The sequence below is a fragment of the Homo sapiens genome, chromosome 5 (assembly GCF_000001405.40).
Source record: "Homo sapiens chromosome 5, GRCh38.p14 Primary Assembly".
Classification (NCBI taxonomy): Eukaryota; Metazoa; Chordata; class Mammalia; order Primates; family Hominidae; genus Homo; species Homo sapiens.
In genome coordinates, this window is record NC_000005.10 from 77,697,085 (window position 1) to 77,720,346 (window position 23,262).

Genomic DNA, 23,262 nt, shown 5'->3' on the forward strand with positions numbered 1-23,262 from the left:
AAAATATGTAAAACAAAAACTGATAGCACTGAAAGGAAAAACAGACAAATCCATATACATAAGCTGGGGATTTCAATACCCCACTCTCAGCAACTGATAGAAATATTAGATGAAAATCAGTAAAGGTATAAAAGAACTGAACAACACCAACGCACAAGGTGTAACTGACTTTTGTAGAACACTCTACCTCAGAAATGAGAATACAATGTTCTAATAAGTAAGGAGAATACAAATACTTTTCAAGTGCCCATGAAATATTTACTGAAGTAAGCCACATTCTGGATCAAAAAACCCCAACAATAACAAAAACCCCAACAAATTTAAAAGAACTGAAATCCTACATAATACATTATCTGACTATAATGAAGTAAAATTAGAAATCATAACAGAAAGAAGGAAAATCCCTACTTAGAAATTAAACAACATACTTTAAGTAGCCCATGGGCCAAAAAAAAGTCTCAAATAAAGACACAGATAAATGGAAATGAAAATATAACATGTCAAATTTTGTGGGATGCAGCTAAAGCAGTGTCTGTTGGGAAATTTACAGCACTAAATGCTTACATTAATCAAAAGGAAAGGTCTGAAATTAATAATCTTGTTTTAATTTAATTTAAATAAGTTCTTGTTTCGAGAACCTAGAAAAAGAAGAGCAAAATAAACCTAAAACAAGCAGAAGGAAATAATATATAAGAGCAGAAATCAACAAAATTAAAAACAGAAAAGCAATAGACAAAACTGTATGAAACAAAAAGCTGGTTTTGGCTGGGTGCCATGGCTCATGCCTGTAATCCTAACACTTTGGGAGGTTGGGGCAGGCAGATCGCTTGAGCCCAGGAATTCGAGACCAGCCTGGGCAACAGGCAAGACCCCATCTCTCAAAAAATTAGCCAGGTGTGGTGACACACATCTGTAGTCTCAGCTACTTGGGAGGCCAAAATGGGAGGGTTGCTTGAACCTGGGAGGTTAAGGCTGCAGTGAGCCATGATCACACCACTGCACTCCAGCCTGGGCGACAGAGTGAAACCCTGTCTCAAAAAAATAGTAATAAAATTAAAAAACCAAAAAGCTGGTTTCTTGAAAAGAAAAAAAAAAAAACACACTGATAAACCTTTATTAAGACAGACAAAGATAAAGTGAAAGGGCACAAGTCACCAAAAGCAGTCCGAAATAGAGGATATCATTACGGATCCTGCAATTATTAAAAGGAGAAGAAAGAAATAATATAAATGATGTTATAATATTGTTCATAATGCTCATAAACAACTTAGAAGAAATTGACCAATTCCTCAAAAACTACCAACTACCCAAACTTAATTACTTAAATAGTCCTATTAATCAATCACTACAGAAACTGAAGTTGTAATTTATTTGTTGTTGTTAATTTAAAAAATACTTTTTCTCCAATGTTCTGCTGAATGAAGTTGCAATTTAAAAGTTCCTACAAAAGAGCTCTCCAGGCCCAGATAATTTCAATAGACAATTCTACCAAACATTTAAATAACAATTAACACCAATTTTACACAAATCTTTCAAGAAAACAGAAAAGGAAGGAACAAATGATTTTTGAAATCAGTATTCCCAAATGATTTTATGAAATCTGTATTAACCTTACAGCAACACCACACAAAGACAGCACAAAAAACGAAAACTGCTTCAACAAATTAGCAAACTGAATTCAGCAATGTATACAAATAATTATTTATAGACCAGTATCAAGTGGGATTCATTGTACGTATGCAAGGACAGTTAAATATTTGAAAATCAATCCATGTAATTCAGGTCTGAGAAAGAAAATGAATATAATCCTAGAACTAATAAGTTCAGCAAGGTGAGTTTGCAGGTTACAAGATCAACATAAAAACAAAAATCAACTGCACTTTTATATCTAACAACAAATATGGTATGTGGAAACCAAAACTAAAAACAATACCATTTGCAAGAGCATCAAAAAAAAAAAAAAAAAAAAAAAAAGAAATACTTAGCTATACATTTATAATGTGCAGGATCTGTATGCTGAAAATTATAAAATGCTGATGAAGGAAATCAGACCTAAATAAATTAGAAAGACTTACCATATCCATTAACTGGGACATCAATTTGCCCCAAACTGATTTATAGGTTTAATGCAATTCCTATCAAAAAGTGTTTTATAGATACAGACAAGCTTATTTAAAAATTTACATGGAAAGCCAAAACAAACTAGAAAAGCTAAAATAATTTTGAAAAAAATAAAATAAAATAAACACTCATTCTTCCCAATGTTAAGATTTACTACATCAGTACAGAATCAAAACAGTGCAGTATTGTTAATGAACCAGAAGAGAGAACACAAAAGTAAACCCACACAAATATGTCCAACTATTTTTGACAAAGATACAAAAGCAATTCAATGAAAGGAAGACAGCCTTTTCAACAAATGCTGCTGGAGCAACTGGACATTGACTGGCAAAAAGATGAATCTCAAACCAAACCTAACACTTTATATAAAAATTACCTCAAAACGGATTGAAGACTTAAATACAAACACAAAATCATACAACTTTTAGGGAAAAAAATAGAAAATCTTTAGGACCTAAGACAAGCAAAGAGGCCTTAGCCCTGAAACCAAAAGTATGATTCATAAAAGGAAGTACTGATAAATTGGACATTCTTGAATTTAAAAACTGTTGGCTGGGCGCGATGGCTCATGTCTATAATCCCAGCACTTTGGGAGGCCAAGGCGGGCAGATCACTTGAGGTCAGGAGTTCGAGACCAGCCTGACCAACACGGTGAAACCTTTTCTATACTAAAAATACAAAAATTAGCTGGGCATGGTGGCAGGCGCATATAATCCCAGCTACTAGGGAGGCTGAGGCAGGAGAATTGCTTGAACCTGGGAGGCAGAGGTTGCAGTGAGCTGAGATCGCACCACTGCATTCCAGCAAAGAGTATGGCTCTGACTCAAAAAAAAAAAAAAAAAAAAGAAAATTAGCCAGACATGGTGGTGCATGCCTGCAGTCCCAGCTACTTGGGAGGCTGAGGTGGAAGGATCGTTTCAACCCAGGAGGCAGAGGTTGCAGTGAGCCGCGATCTCCTCACTGCACTCCAGCCTGGGCGACCAAGCAAGATTCTGTCTCAAAACAAAAACAAAAACAAAAATCCCTGTTTCCCTGTCAAAGACACTGTTAAGAGGATAAGAAGACAAACTACAGACAGAAATATCTGCAAACCACGTATCTGACAAAGGGCATGTGTCTAGTATATACAATGAACTCTCAAAACTCAAATGTTAAAAAAAAAACAAAGCATCCAATTAGTGGGCAAAAGGCCTGATCACTCATTTTCACTGAAGAGGATATACAGACAGCAAATAAGCACATGAAAAAACATTCAACATTATTAGCCATTATGGAAATGCAAATTAAAAGCACAATGAGTTATCACTATACAGCTATCATATAGCTGATGGCTAAATGCTAAAATTAAAAAATAGAGATCACACTGAATGCTGGTGAAGATGTAGAGAAATTGAATCATTGCTGGTGGGAACATAAAATAGTATAACCACTCTGGAAAAGAGTTTGGTAGTTTCTTTTAAAACAAAAACCACACGAATACAACCTAGTAATTGCACTCTCAGGCTTTTATCCTATGGAAATGAAAACTTATGTTCAAGAGTAGAGAACCCAGAAATAAACCCAAATACTTACAGCCAACTATCTTTGACAAAGCAAACAAAAACATAAAGTGGGGAAAGGACACCCTTTTCAACAAATGGGGCTGGGACAATTGGCATGCCACATGTAGGAAAATGAAACTGGATCCTTACCTCTCATCTTATACAAAAATCAACTTAAGATGGATTAAAGACAAATCTAAGACCTGAAACCATGAAAATGGAAGATAACATTGTAAAAACCCTTCTAGACATTGGCTTAGGCAACGATTTCATAACTAAGAACCCAAAAGGAAATGTAATAAAAACAAAGATAAATAGCTGGGACTTAATTAAAGAGCTTTTGCATGGCAAAAGGAACAGTCAGCAGAGTAAACAGACAACCATAGAGTGGGAGAAAATCTTCACAATCTATACATCTGACAAAGGACAAATATCCAAAATCTATAACAAATTCAAACAAATTAGCAAGAAAAAAACAAACAATCCCATCAAAAAGTGGGCTAACGATATGAATAGACAATTCTCAAAAGAAGACATACAAATGGCCAACAAATATATGAAAAAATGCTCAACACTAATGATCAGGGAAATGCAAATCAAAACCACAATGCAATAACCACCTTATTCCTGCAAGAACGATCAAAATCTAAAAATAAAAAAATAATAGATGTTGGTGTGCATGTGGTGAACAGGGAACAACTTCTACACTGCTGCTGGGAATGTAAACTAGCACATTCGTGTGGAGATTCCTTAAAGAACTAAAAGTAGGACTACCATTTGATCCAGCAATTCCTATTGGGTATCTACCCAGAGGAAAAGACGTCATTATATGAAAAAGATACTTGCACACATTTATAGCAGCACAATTCACAACTGCAAAAATGTGGAACCAACCCGAATGTCCATCAATCAACAAGTGGATAAACTGTGGCATGCATATATATATATATATATATATATATATATATATATATATATATGATGGAATACTACTCAGCCACAAATAGCAATGAGTTAATGGCATTTGCAGCAACTTGGACGGGACTGGAGACTTACTCTAAGTGAGGTAACTCAGTATATATAGATATATGATGGAATACTACCTCAGCCATAAAAAGGAATGAGTTAATGGCATTTGCAGCAAGTTGGATGGGACTGGAGACTATTAGTCTAAGTGATGTAACTCAGGAATGGAAAAGGAAACATCATATGTTCTCACTTATAAGTGGGAGCTAAGCTATGAGGATGCAAAGGCGTAAGAATGACACAATAGACCTTGGGGACTCAGAGGGAAAGGGTGGGAATGGGGTGAGGGATAAAAGACTACAAATCAGGTACAGTGTACACTGCTTGGGTGATGGGTGCACCAAAATCTCAAAAATCACCACTAAAGAACTTACTCTTGTAACCAAATACCACCTGTGCCCCCAAAACCTACAGAAATAATAAAATAAAATAAAACCTATGTTCACATCAAAACTGTACATGAACATTCACAGCAGCTTTTCTCACAACAGCAAAAACCTGGAAACAATCCAAATGTTCATCAAAGGTTAAATGTTAGTACATCCAAACCATGGAATACTACTTAGCAGTAATAAAGAACAAACTATTGATACACTCAGTAACTTCAATGGACCTAAAGGGAATTATATAAAATAGAAAAAGCCAATTTTAAAAGGTTACATACTGTAGATTCCATTCTACGTTATGTGACATTCTTGAGGCAGTGTAATTATTTAGGGTTTTGGGAGCAGAGAGGATTGGGTGGCTAAAAAGAAGTGGCAAGAGGGAGCTTTGCGATGGAACAGTTCTCCATCTTGATTGGTTGCTGCACATGCTACTGCAGAGAACTATACATGCAAACACACAAATGAGTGCAGGTATAACTAGTGAAATATGAGTAAGCTCTGTGGTGTGCTAAGGCAAACTTCATGGTTTGAATACTGTATTATATTTATACAAGATACTAACATTGGGGAAGGAAGGATGAAGGATGTAACGACACCTCTTTGAATATCTTTTGGAATTTCCTGTGAAATCTATAACAAGAAATTTAAAAAGCAAGTGTATTACCTTCTATAAGCCTGCATATAGGTACCAAGAGACAAACACATTTTCTTGGATGATTGTAAGTTATTTTCCATATTTTTACTACTGATTAAAAGAAAATCTGGGTTTTTCTTTGAGGATCAGCCTTGTGAGACACTCCTGGTCAAAGGGGGATCTTCTTTGTTGACTGAAGCCTCCTAATATTTTCCATATATTTAATGAAAAACATTTCCCCTTTATTTTTAGGAAAAACATAGAAACATGTCATTGTAAATGTTCACTCTTGTTTCAAAGAGTAAAAAAAAGCATATACATCTTTTTCAAAAAGATGAATTTTACATTACTGTAACTATATGCAATAATTGCAAAGCTTTTGTGAAAACTCTTTTGTGAGAAAACTGAGAACTCTTTGTCCAAAAATTATACCAGTTTGTCTTATTACTTCTGGAACCTAAGAGATAAGTTGTGCCTCAGGAGAAATGACAGAGATATGTCTGACTGAGTGTCATTACTGCCAATCATTATGCCCCAGGATAGGTTGAAAAACAAACCAGAAAGCTTTACCAAGTGAGGGCAAAACCCTCTGTACCCAACCCTAATTGGTGGAGAAGAAGAGAGATATCAGAAGCAGAAGGCTAAAATCAATTTGGGCAATATTTGAATGACGTGTTATATTGTTTAGCCAGAAAATAAAAAAAGACAGAATAAATCTTTAATTGACTGATATTCTAGCCTCCTGAAAACTTTTACCTAGTTGCTTATTTTTAAATTTTCTATTTTATTTTATGTATTTTTTGAGACAAGGCCTCACTCTGTCACCCAGGCTGGAGTACAGTGGCATGATCACGGCTCACTGCAGCCTTGACCTCCTGAGCTCAGGTGATCCTCTTACCTCAGCCTCCCAGGTGGCTGGGACTTTTGGGTGCACACCACCACACCCAGCTAATTTTTTGTATCCTAATAAAATTTTTTTATTTTTTGTAGAGACAGAGTTTCACCTTTGATATGGTTTTACTCTGTGTCCCCACACAATCTCATCTTGAATTGTAATCCATACATGTTAGGGAGGGACCTGGTGGGAGGTGATTGGATTATAGGGGCGGTTTCCTATATGCTCTGATAGTGAGTGAGTTCTCATGAGATCAGAGGGTTTCAAAGTGCGGCACTTCCCACTTGTTCTCCTTCTCTCTCTCTCTCCTGCCGCCTTGTGAAGAAGGTGCTTGCTTCCCCTTCACATTCTGCCATGATTATAAGTTCCCTGAGGTCTCCCCAGCCATGTGGAACTGTGAGTCAAGTAAACCTTTTTTCTTTATAAGTTACCCAGTCTCAGGTAGTTCTATATAGCAGTATGAAAATGGACTAATGCAAACAAGCTAGCCCCAGGCTAGTCTCAAATTCTGGGCTCAAGTGATCTACCCAGCTTGGCCTCCCAAAGGGCTAGGATTACAGACGTGAGCCACTGCACCTGGCCTAATTACTTATTTTAAAAGAACCAAAATTATAACTAGTCCAACAGAGGGACTGTCCCCTGATTTTTGGCAACCATCTTCAGGTAAGAGTTTGGTAGAGAATAAGAGATAGCACCTTAACTGTGTGCTTAAAATACAGCCAATTTAGAAGAAGTAGGAAAGCCAGAGCAAAACGGATCCAAGTGAGAGAAGAGCCAAAGTAGTGAGAAGTGACTGAGGATAGTGTTTAGCTCAGAAGAGGAAGAAATCTAGGGAGAAGTGTAGAAAACCCACAAAATGCAGCACTTGGCTGTCTTGATATTTTCTATGAAAGGCACAATAAATGTTAAGAAAACCATTGCTGAACTTAAAGTCCCAGGCAATCACAAACAGAGCAGTCCTTTTGGTTATGCAACACCCATTGTATATGATAAAAAAAAAGAATGGCCACAATATAGCTAAGCCAGGGAAAAGAAATTAAGAAATGTATGTAGGTTGGCTAAAGACAAGTTTTTAGGAAACTCTAAAACAAAACTGCAATTGACAACTATATACATGGTAGGTTGACAACAGAAGCAAACAGAAACAACTATTGTTCTGTAATCAGATATGAAATGTTATTTCTGAATAAGTACTAAGTTGGCTATGAATCTAACAAATCCTGTTAAAAAATATGATACCTATGACCAAAAAGAGAATTTTAACATGTCTGAGGGTAGAAACAACTTTTGAACAATTTTTTTTCCCCTTTTACATCTGTGTATGTAGTCAGTAATGTAACTAGTGTGTGGCTGGTATTTTCAAATGACAATTACAACACAGAATTCAGTAGTTAATCTTTACCTATAAAGTAGTGATTTCATTGAAAGATGATACATACATAACTATAAATGAAATAAAACAGGTTCTGTGATAACCCATAACTTTATTTGTAAAATTTTATTTAGAAAGGGAACACATTTATTCCTCTACTCCATGTAACTGATAACTCCTATTTTAGCTATAGGACTATTTTAAAATACATTATTGATGGTGAAAAAAAGCAGGGCAAAGAAAAAGACTAAATGAGGTCACTAGCTACATGACTGGGAAAACAAGCTGATGAAGTCCAAGAAGGACCTGGATGAAATAAAGTTATATACTGTGTCATAATATTTTCCCACTAGATGTAGGAAAACAATAGAAGACTTAAGAGTGAAAGAGGTACAAAAGCAGTATATATCATAATTTTAAGAATAAAAAGTTACATTCCATATGTAAATCCTTATGAAGGGTCGTTAGTTCATAAAGGCGGACAAGGCCAGGTAGGGGGGACTCACGCTTATCATCCCAGGACTCTGAGAGGCTGGGGTGGGAGGATCACTGGAGGCCAGGAGTTGAAGACCAGCCTAAACAAGAAAGTAAGACCCTGTCTCTATAAAAAATTTAAAAATTGGCCAGGCATGGTGGCACACATCTGTAGTCCCAGCTACTCTGGAGGCTGAGGTGGGAGGATCACTTGAACCCAGGAGTTTGAGGCAGTAACAGTGAGCTAGGATCACACCACCGTACTCCAGCTTGGGCATCACAGAGAGATCCCACTGCCCAATATAATTTATTAATATTAAAAAATAAAGGGGACATACTATATCTACACATCTGTTTGCTAATCCTCCCTCAATTTATGAGTATCTGACACACAAATGTCTTTTATACACACAGTGCTGTATCACAAATAAAGGAAGATGGCCTCTCCTAAAAGCTTAATAAAATAAGAAAGCTATCTTCCTAGATAGCCAAGGGAAGACACAGCCAACAGGTTGTTTCAGCTGCTGCTGCATTTCTTTTGCACGGTAGAAAGCAACTCCCTACAAAAAATTCTATTTTAAATGATTGATTAATTTTGCTGAATAAAGCCTGAGTTAAGTGTGATTACCAATTATGCCACGATTTACATGGCAAAAATGACTGTGAGTTCATAAAGCTGATTTTAAAAATAAATTTTAAGATATAGTCTGTACAAGCTGGTTCACATTCTCCTTTTTTTAAACTGTCATCTGGAAATTATTTTAAATGCATCTAACACTAGATTTTAAGTAGAAGACCAAGTGATCTGAGGTACATTTTATAGAGATTTATTTAGTTGTTGTGGTGGGGAAGGAATGGAGGATGTCCCATTCCTGGTGAAAGAAGTATGCCAACAGGGAGGCTTTTGCAATAAATAGTACTAGCAAGAGATGATAGTGGACTAGACTAGAACAATGGCAATAGAGAGAAAAATAGAGAGAGTAAGAAATAGGAGGTGCTGGCTGGGTGCGGTGGCTCACCCCTGTAATCCCAGCACTTTGGGAGGCTAAGGTAGGCAGATCGCCTGAGGTCAGGAGTTCAACAGCCTGGCCAACATGACAAAACCCCGTCTCTACTAAAAATACAAAATTAGCTGCGCGTGGTGGTGCATGCCTGTTAATCCCAGCTTCTTGGGAGGCTGAGGCAGGAAAATCAGCTGAGCCAGGAGGCAAAGGTTGCAGTGAGCCAAGATTGCACCACTGCACTCCAGCCTGGGTGACACAGCAAGACTCCATCTTAAAAAAAAAAAAAAAAAAGAAAGAAAGAAAAGAAAAAAAGAAATAGGAGATGATGCTGATATTAGATGTGGTTATGAGAAAGAGATAAAAATATCAAGAAGGGACCAACTAAATTTTTGACCTGAGTATCTGGATGAGTGGAGGTACCATTCACTGAGATGAGGAAAAAGAAAGAAGAAATTGTTTTTTGTTTGGGAGAGTAGGTTGGAGTAGTGTGAAATCAAGATTTTAATTTTGAACACCTCAGAGGATATGTCAAGTTTCAAGGTGAAAGTGGTAACTTGTGTCAGATGCTATTGAGGTATTTAAGATGAGGGAAAAAAGAGTAATAACAATGTCACTGATAGTTATAACAAGGGCTAGGGCACATAGTCCACTCTTACAGGAAGGAAAGTGGTACAGGTACAGATGCAGATAGGTTGACAGATTTTGTCGTAAGAATATGAGAAAGTTCCCTAACGGCCTCTATTTTCTCAAGGAATTATGAAGCAAGTGTCAGCTGAGAATGAATGTTCAATATATGCTATCATGGGAATAAAGAAAGTGTTATGGGAGCAAAAAGGAGGGGCACCTAACTCAGTTTGAGGTGAGAGTAGAAGAGACCTCAAGGAAGAACAGAAATTAATAAGGAGAGGGTAGGTAAGGCCAGGAGTAAGAGCATCCCAGACATGCAAAATTTCAGAGGCAAAGAAGAAAGGGCATGTTCAGGGAGCTATAAGGCACCTAAGAGGTTGAGACAGGGATTGGTAAGAAATGAGGTTAGATAAGCAGATGTAACCTCATTTCTTGATTCAAAATCAAGAAGAGCCTTGTATGCAATGTTAAGGCCACTGAAATTTGTCATGAAGACAATCACAAGTAGCCATTGAAAAGTGCAATGCGTATTTTATTTTTGTAGTCTTCACATCAGTGTGGAGACAATATTTGTGAATCTAAATATATAATTAATATAAGATTAGTCCATTTTTATATCTGATACTTAAAATTGGAAAAGACAGTAGAATTTAGCGGTTAAGAGTACAGATACTAGAGCCAGAATGCCTGTGTTCAAATCTTAGCTATGCCAGGTGTGGTGGCTCATGCCTGTAATCCCAGCACTTTAGAGAGTTGAGGTGGGAGAATTGCTTGAGCCAAGAGGTCAAGGCTGCAATGAGCCATGATCACACCACTGCACTCCAGCCTGGATGACAGAGTGAGGCCCTGTTTCAAACAAAACAAAACAAAACAAAACCTCAGCTGTGTCACTTAACAACTATGTGATTTGCGCAGTTATTTAACCTGTGTTTGAGTTTCCTTATCTTTAAATGGAAGTTTTAATAGTAAAGAAGTAAATAATAATATAATCTCAGTCAGAGGACTACTGTAAAAACTACATTAGTTAATATGGCATTCTGTAAATGTTAGCTATTGTTATTTATGATATAATTTTACCTGCTTTTTAATGTCATAATTTTCACCGTCTTCAGCTCTCATTTTTTCAATCTTTTCTTCTTGTTGTTTTGCCTCTTTTTCATACATCACTTTTTCTTTGACCAACCTATAAAAAAGCCAAAAATGTTTTAGAAAATTAGCTTTCTCTCCAGACCATAAGAAAGAAACTGTGTAAATATAAAACATATTATATTTAAAATACCAAAGTAGATATACTAGATGGGGGGAGGAAGGAACAGAAGAAAAATAGTTTAGTCATAAATATAAGCATGATCCTCATGCTCTTAAGTCCTATACCTGCCTAACGTAAGTGCAATCTATCAAAGCATGAAATTCTTTTTTTTCTTTGAGACAGTCTCGCTCTGTCTCCCAGGCTGGAGTGCAGTGGCGAGATCTTGGCTCACTGCAAGCTCTGCCTCCCGGGTTCATGCCATTCTCCTGCCTCAGCCTCCCGAGTAGCTGAGACTACAGGCACCCGTCACCACGCCCGGCTAATATTTTGTATTTTTAGTAGAGATGGGGTTTCACCATGTTAGCCAGGATGGTCTCAATCTCCCGACCTTGTGATCCACCAGCCTCGGCCTCCCAAAGTGCTGGGATTACAGGCATGAGCCACCGTGCCTGGCCCAAAGCATGAAATTCTTAATTTTTAAATTAAAAACCCACTTCAGTATATTATAATTACAATGTGAAAGCGATACTCAAAATTAGTATATACCAATATATATTAATACAACTGTCTTTTTTTTTTTTTTTTTAAATATGTCTTCCAAACCTTTATACATGTATCTGAAACAGCACAATGATAAAAGCTCAGTTTACTGGCAGGGGAAAATTCAGTAGATTGCATGTCAAATCCAAAACAAAGAAAGACTGGATTATTTTTTAACAACAAAATCGTTTAACAAGTATTTATTGTGCGTTTAATTTTATGCCAGACTTTCCTTGTGCAAGGAGCTGGGATAGATGCAGTTCTGTCACAGACAAGTGGTGGAAACAAACTAGTATTTACTTACTAAAGTAAGAAAAAGTATTTTAAAAGAAGTACATCAGGAAAAGTTTCAACAATAAGAAATACTGCAATACAAAGTTCTACTGATTATCCCACAGATAATCCAAATTATATTAATCATAATAGCTCAATCTTCCCTAATTCTGGTTGTTTAAAGTTGTAATATAAAAGTATAGTCTAAGAAAATATTAACATTCCTATATACACAGTATCTAAAGAGCAGAAGAAAAAGCTTTCATAGCACATATGTAATAAAAATAGCTTTCTCCATCTGGCTGTTGGCAAGATGGCAAGGATGCAGAGAAATTGGAGCCATCAAACATTGCTGGATGGCAATCAAAATTGGTATAGTAGCTTTAGGAAAGTTTAACTATTCCTCAAAAAGTTAAACAGAGTAACCATATGTCCTGACAATTCCATTTCTAGGTACATACCCTAGAAAAATAAAAATATATGCCCACAGAAAACATGTCTATGGATGTTTACAGCAACATTATGCAAGACAGGCAAAATGTGGAAGTCCAATAATCAATGGAAAATGTGGTATATCCAGAAAACAGAATATTGGGCAATAAAAAACATAAAGTGCTGATTCAAGCCACAACATGGATGAACCCTGAAAACATGCTAAGTAAAAAAGAAGTCTGACATAAAAGGCTACATATTGTATGATTTTATTACAGGACATATCCAGAACGGGCAAATCTATAGAAACGTAAAGTAGATTAGTGGTTGCTTAGGACTGGGGACAACAGGGGAATTGGAAAGGTGATAGCTAAAGGGTATAAGGTTTCTTTTGGGGGTAAGAAACATGTTCTAAAAATGATTGTGGTGATAGTTGCACAACTCTGTGAATCTACTAAAAGCCAGTAAACTGTAGACTTAAAATGGGTTAATTGTATGGTATGTGAATTATATCTCAATAAAGCTGTTGGCAAAAAGGAAAAAAAAGCTGTGACCACAAAGTCAGCTTCAGGGGAAAGCTGCAAGTACTGATACATTCAAGCATGACAACAGAAACATGTGAATGTCAGATACAGAAATCTGCATTTGATTTATAATTTAAAATTGTTTTAGCAATAATTTTCAATATTAAAATATACTTTGAGATATAATATTTTAAAATAAAATCATTAATGCATATCACAAAAGATATTTATCTAAAAAAGTTCCCTTTAAATAGTAAAAGAAACTTGTTAGGACAGAGATGGCAAATTGCCAGCCTGCTTAAATGAAACCTAAAGATGATTTTATTTGACTCACAATGTTAAAAACAAAGAATATTTGTTTAAAAAAAATGTTGTCACATTAAAAAGCTGGGAGATTTGACATATACATCTGAATTTCTGGCTTCTCTTGGATGTTTTCATCAGGAAACATGAGGGCTGCATTCCCACTACTGGCTGGAGCTAAGTAGTGGCTGTTGTCTCCTATAGATGGGTCACATGCTATTCCCTTGCCTCAATTCACATAACTCCCTGTTTCCTTAACAGTCAGGCATTACACTTGGCCTTTGCACGCCTTTGAGTTTGGGACCTGTGTGCATATTATCAACGCAACAGTATTATTATTGTTGTTTTATTATCACTATCATTATATAATCATGATCATTATTCAGAATATCAAGGATATTCAGAAACTACTGGATTAGCAATGAGACTTTCAATACTTCTAAACCTGGTATGTGACTAAATTCCCCTAGTAATGAAAGTAGCTGGAATTGGATAGGCTATTAAAGAGAGGCCCATTCCATATCATCTTATAATTCAAAGACTTAAACAGGGGTAGGCAAACTATGGCCAGGGAGCCAAATCTGGTTGGTCATCTGTTTTTGTATAGTCTCAGAGCTATGAACAGTTTTTACATTTTTGAATGGCTAAAAATTTTTTAAAAGATTTGTCATACGAAAATACAGAATTCAAATTTAATATCCATAAATAAAGTTTTATTGGAACACAGCTATACTCATTCATTTATGTATCATGTATGGCTGTTTTCATGCTATAAGAGCAGAGAAGAGTAGTTGTGATAGAAGAACCATATGGCCTGCAAAACCTAAAATATAATATCTGGTCCTTTACAAAAAAGGGTTGCTGACCCCTGACTTGAAAGACTTCCACTTAATTCTGTCCATCACCTACTTAATTATATCAGCATTAACACACTACACCGAAGCCATTTACTTGCTAGGTCTTAAGTTCCTTGAAGAGAGGATAAGGTTGTATTCATATTGTTTAATTGATCTTCCTACATAGTAGGCACTCAATGTTGGTTGAATGAATAAAAAATTGAGTCTAGAAATCTCACTACTGTCTTTTAACATTTTCAATTTAAAGATAGAAATATATATTTATAAAACAATTCTGAAGCAGAAAAAAAGTGATTCACAAAAATTGAGCAATAAGAACAACATGGTAACTTTTGAAGAAGTATACAACAGAAGAGGAGGATTCTATGCCTAAGCCCACAGATAATTCTGACTGGTAATCCAAGTCATCCTACTTCATTGTGCTTGTCTATGGAAAACAGCAGCAATGGCTCCAGCAACATTAAAGAGTTACTTAACTACCTATCACATGGGATAAGTAAAGGTGCTGCGTATTTGCATGGTTATTGGAATATCAAAATAAATACAAGTTACGTTTTTGCTTAAAAAGTCATATTTTGTGAAAAGGCCCAGGAAACAAGTTATTGAATAGCATGTGTTGCCCTGAAAAAGAAAAAAAAAAAATCAGTCAGTTAGTGAGAACCCAATAATGCAAGCATGTAAAATTATAGTGAATAAAGGCTAGGGTAAGATGCGGTATGAGAAATAATAAAGGTTCCACTCTTAAACAGTACAAATCAATGTACTGATGACAAGTCAGATGATGCTAAAGAGGTTTTATAGAGTATATATACAACTTCTACTTCACTAAATATCATCAAATTGCTTTCCAAAGTAGTTTTATCAGTTGACATACAACCTGTAGTGTATGAAATTTCCTACTTCTTGGCATCCTGGTGAATTGGGATTGTCAGAATTATTAAATTTCTGACAATCAGAAGAGTGTGATATAGTATTTCTATTATGGTTTGAAATATTTCTGTAATAAGGCTGAGCATCTTTATGCTTATTAAAATAGTATTAGTTTTCTCTCTAGTATTTACTGGATAAATATTTGTTGAATCAACAAATTAGTATCTTCTGGTGAATTTGGCTCCTCTCGTTTGCAGGAAAGGCTAAGATTTAATAAGAATACTGAAGACAAGTATGTATTTTAAAATTTGTATTAAGATATTTTTCTGTAATGTACATATGTACATATTTATAAAAAATTATAAAAAAACAAAATTTTAAAAATCACTCATAATCACTACAGATTCAAAATACACATAATTTTGAAACCCAAAGAAGTTTTAAAAAAAGAACATTGTTTATTGTTTGAAACAAACTCATTTAGCAGCAAAGTGTAACCTCAAATGAGATAAAATGATTTATAGAATTTATGTGTACCATCTAATGTGAATAGTTACGTTTCACTGCAGAAATATTAATGTGTATGATTGTAGAGCATTTCTCTAGATGCTATTATGGAAATATACATTACTTTTATAAAATTTGAAAGATTTGGAATTCACAAACACATATGGGCCCAAGGGTTTTCAAAGTAAGGGATTATGGACCTGTATTAACATTTTGAGTACTGTCCAGTAGTCTTTTTCTCTCAACATGTGTGTGTGAAAATTTATATTTAGATATATAAAAAAATAATTTGGGCCAGGTACAGCGGCTCACACCTGTAATCCCAACACTTTGGGAGGCTGAGGCAGGAGGACCACTTGAGGCCAGGAGTCTGAGACCAACCTGGGCAACACGGCGAGATTTTGTCTCTACAAAAAATTTTTAAAAATTAGCCAGGCGTGGTGGCATGCCTTTGTAGTTCCAGCTACTCAGAAGTCTGAGGTGGAAGGATCCCTGGAGCCTAGGGAGTCAAGGATGCAGTAAGCTATAATTGTGCCACTGCATTCCAGCCTGAATAACAGAGCAAGACTGTCTCAAAAAATATATAATAATACTAATAAATAACAATAATTTGGATAATAATCACTTCCAATGTCATTAAATGTTCTTTGAAAATACAGCTGTTAGTGATTGTGAAGTATTTCATAATACTGAGATGACAGCATATTGAAGTATTATCCTATTGGATATTTAAGCCATTCCCTTATTATAAATAATACTGTGATGAGCATCCCTACCTACAAATTTTATAGACATGAAATATTTTCTTCCTAAAAAAATATTTTAAATACATAGTGCATAATGTGAAATTAACTCCTTTTCCAGTCAACCAGTGATCATTTCTTAACAATTACTTTTTCTAATAATGTGGTAAGTCAAACTTTGTCATTAGTTATTAGTGAATGACAAAATGCAAATATTAAATCAATCTACTATTTCAGCCTACTATGATTTTTTATTTTAGTCAAAGAAAATATGCCAAATTTAACTATTTAAACATTAATAAGCATATTAAAGTTTACACCACAGCAAAGTAAAATTAAAATGAGAGAAATGAAACACCACAGGAAAATAAGATAAATCTGATAGGTTCATTATATAACCCACAGGAGTTATAGACAGAACAGAAACAAAGCAAGTAAAGATTTTTTTTTTAAAAGAATAAAATTTCCCAAAGCTGGAAAAGAAAAGCAATCTTAACTGAAAGGGCTTCATAAGTGCCTTTTAGACGCACACAGAATCCATTGAAAAAAAAAAAAAACCCCATCTATGTACATTAAGAATTTCCAGTGGCTCAACGCCTGTAATCCCAGCACTTCTGGGAGGTCAAGGTGGGAGGATCACTCGAGGTCAGGAGTTCGAGATCAGCCTGCCCAACATGGTGAAACCCATCTCTACTAAAAATACAAAAATTAGTCAGGTGTGGTGGCAGGTGCCTGTAATCCCAGCTACTTGGGAGGCTGAGCCAGGAGAATCGCTTGAACCCGGGAGGCGGAGGCTGCAGTGAGCCAAGATCGTACCACTGCATTCCAGCCTGGGCAACAGAGTGAGACTCCATCTCAAAAAAACAAACAAAAAAAGAATTTCCAGAGCTCCATAAAAATTAAAGCTTTCAAAAAGAGAATAGGTCATCTGTAAAAGGAAGAATCAGATTGACTTACACTTCTCATTAATAACAGTAGATATCAGAAGAAGATGGTGCAATCCCTTCAAAGTTTTGAGAGAAAATGATTTATAACCTGGATTTATAACTATAATAAAAGGTGGAGAAGAAAATTCATTAACTGACTTAACAATTATTACTATTATTATTATTATTTTTTTTTGAGATGGAGTCTGTCTCTGTCGCCCAAGCTGGAGTGCAGTGGCGCAATCTCAGCCTACTGCAAGCTCCGCCTCCCAGGTTCATGCCATTCTCCTGCCTCAGCCTCCCAGGTAGCTGGGACTACAGGCACCTGCCACCACGGCCAGCTAATTTTTTGTATTTCTAGTAGAGACGGAGTTTCACCGTGTTAGCCAGGATGGTCTCAATCTCCTGACCTTGTGATCCGCCCACCTCGACCTCCCAAAGTGCTGGGATTACAGACGTGAGCCACTGCACCCGGCCAACAATTATTTATTAAAGGGCTACTATGTGCCAGGTATGATTTTATATATCAAGGATACAGCAATGAACTACAAAAATCCCTGCCCTATGGCACTTTTTAGTGGGGAAATAAAATTAAATAAGCAAAATATGTAACATGTTAGATTGTGAAAAGTGCTATGGAGAAAAAGCCGTGAAGGAGGACTGGTAATACAGAGGGTTTGCAATTTAAAATAGGATTGTCTCTTTGAGAAGAGGACACATGAGTTAAGATTTCAAAGAGGCAATAAGCTATGTAAATAACTGATGAAAGAAGTTATAGGCCAAGGGATCTATTTTTAGTTACATAAAAATGTAAAAAGTTGATCTACTATGTCACCTGAGAAATTTACTTAATGTACTCCAGCAAATTGAAGACGAAAACCAAGAAAAGAAGCCATGAAACCAGGAAGTCCTTGTCAACATAATCCCTAACAAAGGAAAAATACATCCCAAGGTTAACACTGTGCTATAGGCCTGAAAAACAATCAGTCTAAATGAGGATCTTAGTGTGAGCTCTTATGAAAACATCTTTAAGAAGGATAGAATAGATTCTAAGGAACAGAGACAATGAGTAATAAGGTAGAAGATATTAATGATATAATAAAGAAGTCATGTTTTTTCTCTCAATTATAAAAATGAAAATAATTAGAAACTCCAGGAACCTCATCCCCCTGACACACACACATGCACACCCACAAAAGCACACATGCAACAAATGGTTATGGTTGTAATATGAAGCAATTGGTGAAAAAGAGAATCCATTTAACCTGGATTTATAAAAAGTCTTCTTTGGGCAGGCTAGTTCCCACAGTGCCTAGAACACAATAAGCAGTTAATAACATTTAGTTTAAGAAAAAACATGCTGTAAAAAGTGGGTAAGATGACTCCTGATCAACTAATGAAAGTTTGGCATTTTATAAAAATTATACCAACACCTGTGTCATTAATTCCTTCAAACAGGTATTAAATCCCCCTGTTTGGAGCCTCTAGTATAATTTCCTTTTCCCTGTTATATACAGTTCTCCTCTACTGATATAGCTGATAACAAACTCTCCTGTCTCTGAATAAACGAACAGTATATTTAAGATTTGTGTTGTGTGAGGGATTATGGAAAAGAACAAACTTAAATTGAGGGCCTTATATGAACAGACCTTTAGGTACTGTATTGCATTTAATACTTTTGATCCTATTTAAGTAGTATTATCTCTATTTTACAATCTCTTTTTAATTATGCCTCTCCACAATGTTTTTAAAAGAGTCAATGAAAATAGAAGTTAATGAAGACATCAATATTTCAGAAATGAATAAAATCTAAGTTAGTGTATTTCAGGAAGCTGATCAAAAAATGATACTACTAATGAAATTAAGCTAAAGATTGATAACACTGATGAAAGAAGTTAGGTTGGATGAATGACATCTGAGGTTTTAGCATTTCCAATGGGCATCAACAAATCTGCTCTCCTAAAACTTTTTTGCCATTTGGTGAAGTTCGACAGACAGTTATGATATTGGTATATCATGAAATATCATATGTAATGAATTTAGGCAAAAGCTTGAATCACTTGACATAAATAAAAATTAAATATGATGATAAAAGCAGCTAACAACAAACTGACCACTTACTATGAACCAAGCAGTGTGCCAAGGCATGCTAAATGCCATATATATCATTTAAGTCCTCAAAACAAACCAAACAGGTACTAGTATTATTCCCATTTTAGTAACTACTAATTCAAAATTAATGGAGCTTCAGTACCTTGTCCAAGTTCTCACATTTGTTAAGTGCCAAAGAACTGTTAAACTCCATATCCTTAGCTACTAATTTAAGTAATTCTCAAACATTTGAACATAAAAGTCTAAATGTGTTCAATTACAGCAGGCATTGTTAGGTGCCTACCCAGCAACCATTCCTCCACTTCTTACTTGACAACAGAATCCAGTTTTGCTTATGATCAGCCAAGAAGTCATGCCCTTCAAAGGAAGAAACCAATCACAATGATTTTACCCCCTTTTCCAAGTGATAGTTTAGGCACGTGCAAATGACCCAACTCTGGCCAAAGCTACATAAGAGACATCTGCTGGGGGTTCTGAGAAGGTTGCCATTGCTCATAAATGGGATATAATCCATTTTCTCACCTGGACATTGTCACCTGTGTGTGACACCTGCCACTTGTGTCAGACACCTTGGGATCATGAGGAAATCCTGCCTAAAAAGACAGGTCAATCTAGTCAGAGAACTGCAGTCTTTGATGATGGTACTGAATTACTAAATCAACCAACCGTAAAAGCGTACTGCTTCTAGTTTTCTTATTGCAGGCGATAATAAATATCCTTATAGTTAAGCCACATACAGTTTTGTTTTCTGTTACTTGAAGCTAAAACATCTAAAATGATAGTCACTAACAGCAGAAGATTGTTCTGTAAGTACAGAAATAATGCTTTCCTACTTGAGACTAATTCATTCTAAACAAATCATTTAGAAATTGAAGTATCTCTTATTTTTTCCCTATCTACAAATAAACATGAAGAAAGTAAGATTAAATTACCTATACAATCCCCAGTTTTATGGGGATTTCCACTATATTAAAAATTTTTCCATATAAATTTTGTGTAAAAGTCTGTATTTCACACTTAAAACAGTGTAAACTTGTTTTTGCTTTTAGTCGGGCGCAGTGGCTCACGCCTGTAATCCCAGCACTTTGGGAGGCCAAGGTGGGCGTATCACCTGAGGTCAGGAGTTCGAGGCTACCGTGACCAACATGGTAAAACCCCGTCTCTAGTAAAAATATAAAAAAATTAGCCAGGCATAGTGGTGCACGCCTGTAATCCCAACTACTCGGGAGGCTGAGGCAGGAGAATCGCTTGAAACCAAGAGGCAGAGGTTGCAGTGAGCTGAGATCGTGCCATTACACTCCAGCCTGGCAAACAACAGCGAAACTCTGTCTCAAAAGAAAAAAAAAAGGCCGGGGGCAGTGGCTTACGCCTGTAATCCCAGCACTTTGGGAGGCTGAGGCCGGCAGATCACCTGAGGTCGGGAGTTCCAGACCAACCTGAACAACATGGAGAAACTCTGTCTCTACTAAAAAATACAAAATTAGCCAGGCGAGGTGGCGCAGGCCTGTAATCCCAGCTACTCGGGAGGCTGAGGCAGGAGAAGCCCTCAAACCCAGGAGGCAGAGGTTGTGGTGAGCTGAGATCGCACAACTGCACTCCAGCCTGGGCAACAAGAGTGAAATTCTGTCTCAAAAAAACAAAAAACAAACCAAGACCACTTTGTTTTTAATAATCATGGTGGCTACTAAAGGATAATACTCAGAATAAATAATATTACCTTCTATCTACATCACATTTTCAAAGTATTTCTGTAACTTACAGGATATTAGGTGTTGAATAGTAAAATATCAAGGCCTATAAACTGCAACTTAATGGAGAGTGGGAATTAAGTAGCTAGATACTAAATCTATAGACCATTATGGGGTAAGAAGTTTCACTGTGCTTCAAAGGAAACAATATGGCACCAGGAAGTGTATCCACTTACTACTTGGATGCAGGAAGAAAAAAGTCAATTGGAAAAATGCAAGTCAACTGCATTAATTAAGAATTCTCACTAGTTCCTTAGTACGGAAGAACTAAGGTTGACATCAGAAGCTGATGATTTAGTGCTAATGGTCTATACAGTACAATGTATGTAGTTAAAATTCAGTGAGTTTTAGTCATTTTCCACCAATCCTTGTGGTCATTATAAAGTCCTAAGTGAGATTTTTCACTGTTCCCAAACTTGAGAATTATAGTTAAGATGTCAACAGTCAGCAAAACTAAGGAAGAACCTGCTACAGTATCCTCTCCTAACAAAACTTAAAATAAAACAAAAGTGTGCTACCCAGAAACACATAAAATGAGATGGGGCTGGAGATGCTGCTTGTTCTGAATGGAATGTCTCCTCTCCTCATCCTCTCCCAACCAACTCATTCTTCAAAACTTAACTCAAATAAATGTCCTGTCTTCCAGGAGGACCACTCTAACATCAATCCTTCCACTCTCCCAAGCTGACACTGTGGATCCTTTGTCTATGTATCTTCATAGCATATTTATCTGCATCATCACAATAGGTTGAAATTTTGTCTACTTCGACAATTAAAAATAAATCCCCCAAGGTGTGAAAATATGTCTCATATCACACCTAGCAGAATATATGCCTCACAGATATATTTGCTGAATGAAATAACTCATAATTACCCTGCGTGGTAAGCAGGGCAACTATCGTCAGCCTCATTTTCAAATGAGAACCTGCAATTCAAAGAAGTGAAAAGCCAGCTGTCCAAGAAACGATGAAAACAGGATGTGAAATCATGACTTCTAACTTCAAGTGTCAATATTTTCTACAGAAAATACAATCGTATGTTTAAAGTAAATGAAGCAATTTTCAAAATTTAAATTTCTTTGATCTGTTCCCAAGGTAAAATCATTCCATGGTTCAATATCTGAATAGCACAAAAGAATATACTGTGAAAAGGCAACCCACCACCTACACACCCTGACCCCAGCCACTCAGTTCCCACCACCGGAAGCAACATGTTCTCAATTTCTTGTATCCTAAATGAAAGAAAATGAATGTTTAATTTCATGGTATTTGTTACCTTATAGTTTCTCAGTAACCATTAATTAATCCATTAAACTGGAGACAGTTCAAGTTTTATTAATTGCTGAAGTAGAATATGTGCTTTAATTAATTTTAAAAAATAAGTTAGACATTTTATAAACAGCTAAAATGATGCATGTCAAACATAAAATCAGTATCACTTTTTTCAATACTATGAATCTCAAGGATTAATAAATGAATAAATCTTAGAATGAAAATTCAAAAAACACAAATATAAAACTCATTATTTCACGAATCCTCTAACCTGTCCCTTAAAAGGTCCCTCAAAGGTCCTGAGATGTCAGTGAGATTAAAAAGTGCATACTACTGAAAGGGCTAAAGACACTGTGAATAGCTTCTGCTTGAGTTTATATGAGAAAGCAATAGCACCTCCCACAGCTGCTTCATCTCCATACAAAACACTCTGACAGTTTTAATTACCACCTAAAATCACAAATCTGTCTGTACATTTGACTTTTTATCCTCTGTCCAGACCCATATCTCTAACTGCCTTTGTAACATCTCTATTTAGACATCCCCACTAGCAACTGAAGCAGGCTGAAAACTGAGATCATCATCATCTCTCTCTAAAATGATACCCTTCCCAACTTGAGCTGTCAACATAGTAATCATGCTCTCATCTCACAACCTTTGCGGTATCGTTCACTAGAAACCTCTCATTGCAACTGGTTTGGCTAAGTCTGAGAAAAACAGAAGGAAACACAGATGGATAGGGTAAAGTTCTGCATGTGAGGGGTTTTGTTTTGTTTTTAAGTGAGACTATACAATTACTAGATAAAGTAGGACTGCCTTGTGAACAT

General features: G+C 36.0%; 1 protein-coding gene across 3 annotated transcripts in view; it reads right to left on the reverse strand.

The window, feature by feature from the left end:
* The window catches only part of TBCA (tubulin folding cofactor A), an 85,174-nt gene that overhangs the window by 5,919 nt on the left and 55,993 nt on the right, over positions 1–23,262 (reverse strand). For all 3 annotated transcript variants that reach the window (NM_001297740.2, NM_004607.3, NM_001297738.2), the window contains exon 2: positions 11,158–11,263. In NM_001297740.2, coding sequence (NP_001284669.1) covers positions 11,158–11,263 — 106 coding nt within the window. The remainder of the gene's footprint in view (positions 1–11,157; positions 11,264–23,262) is intronic.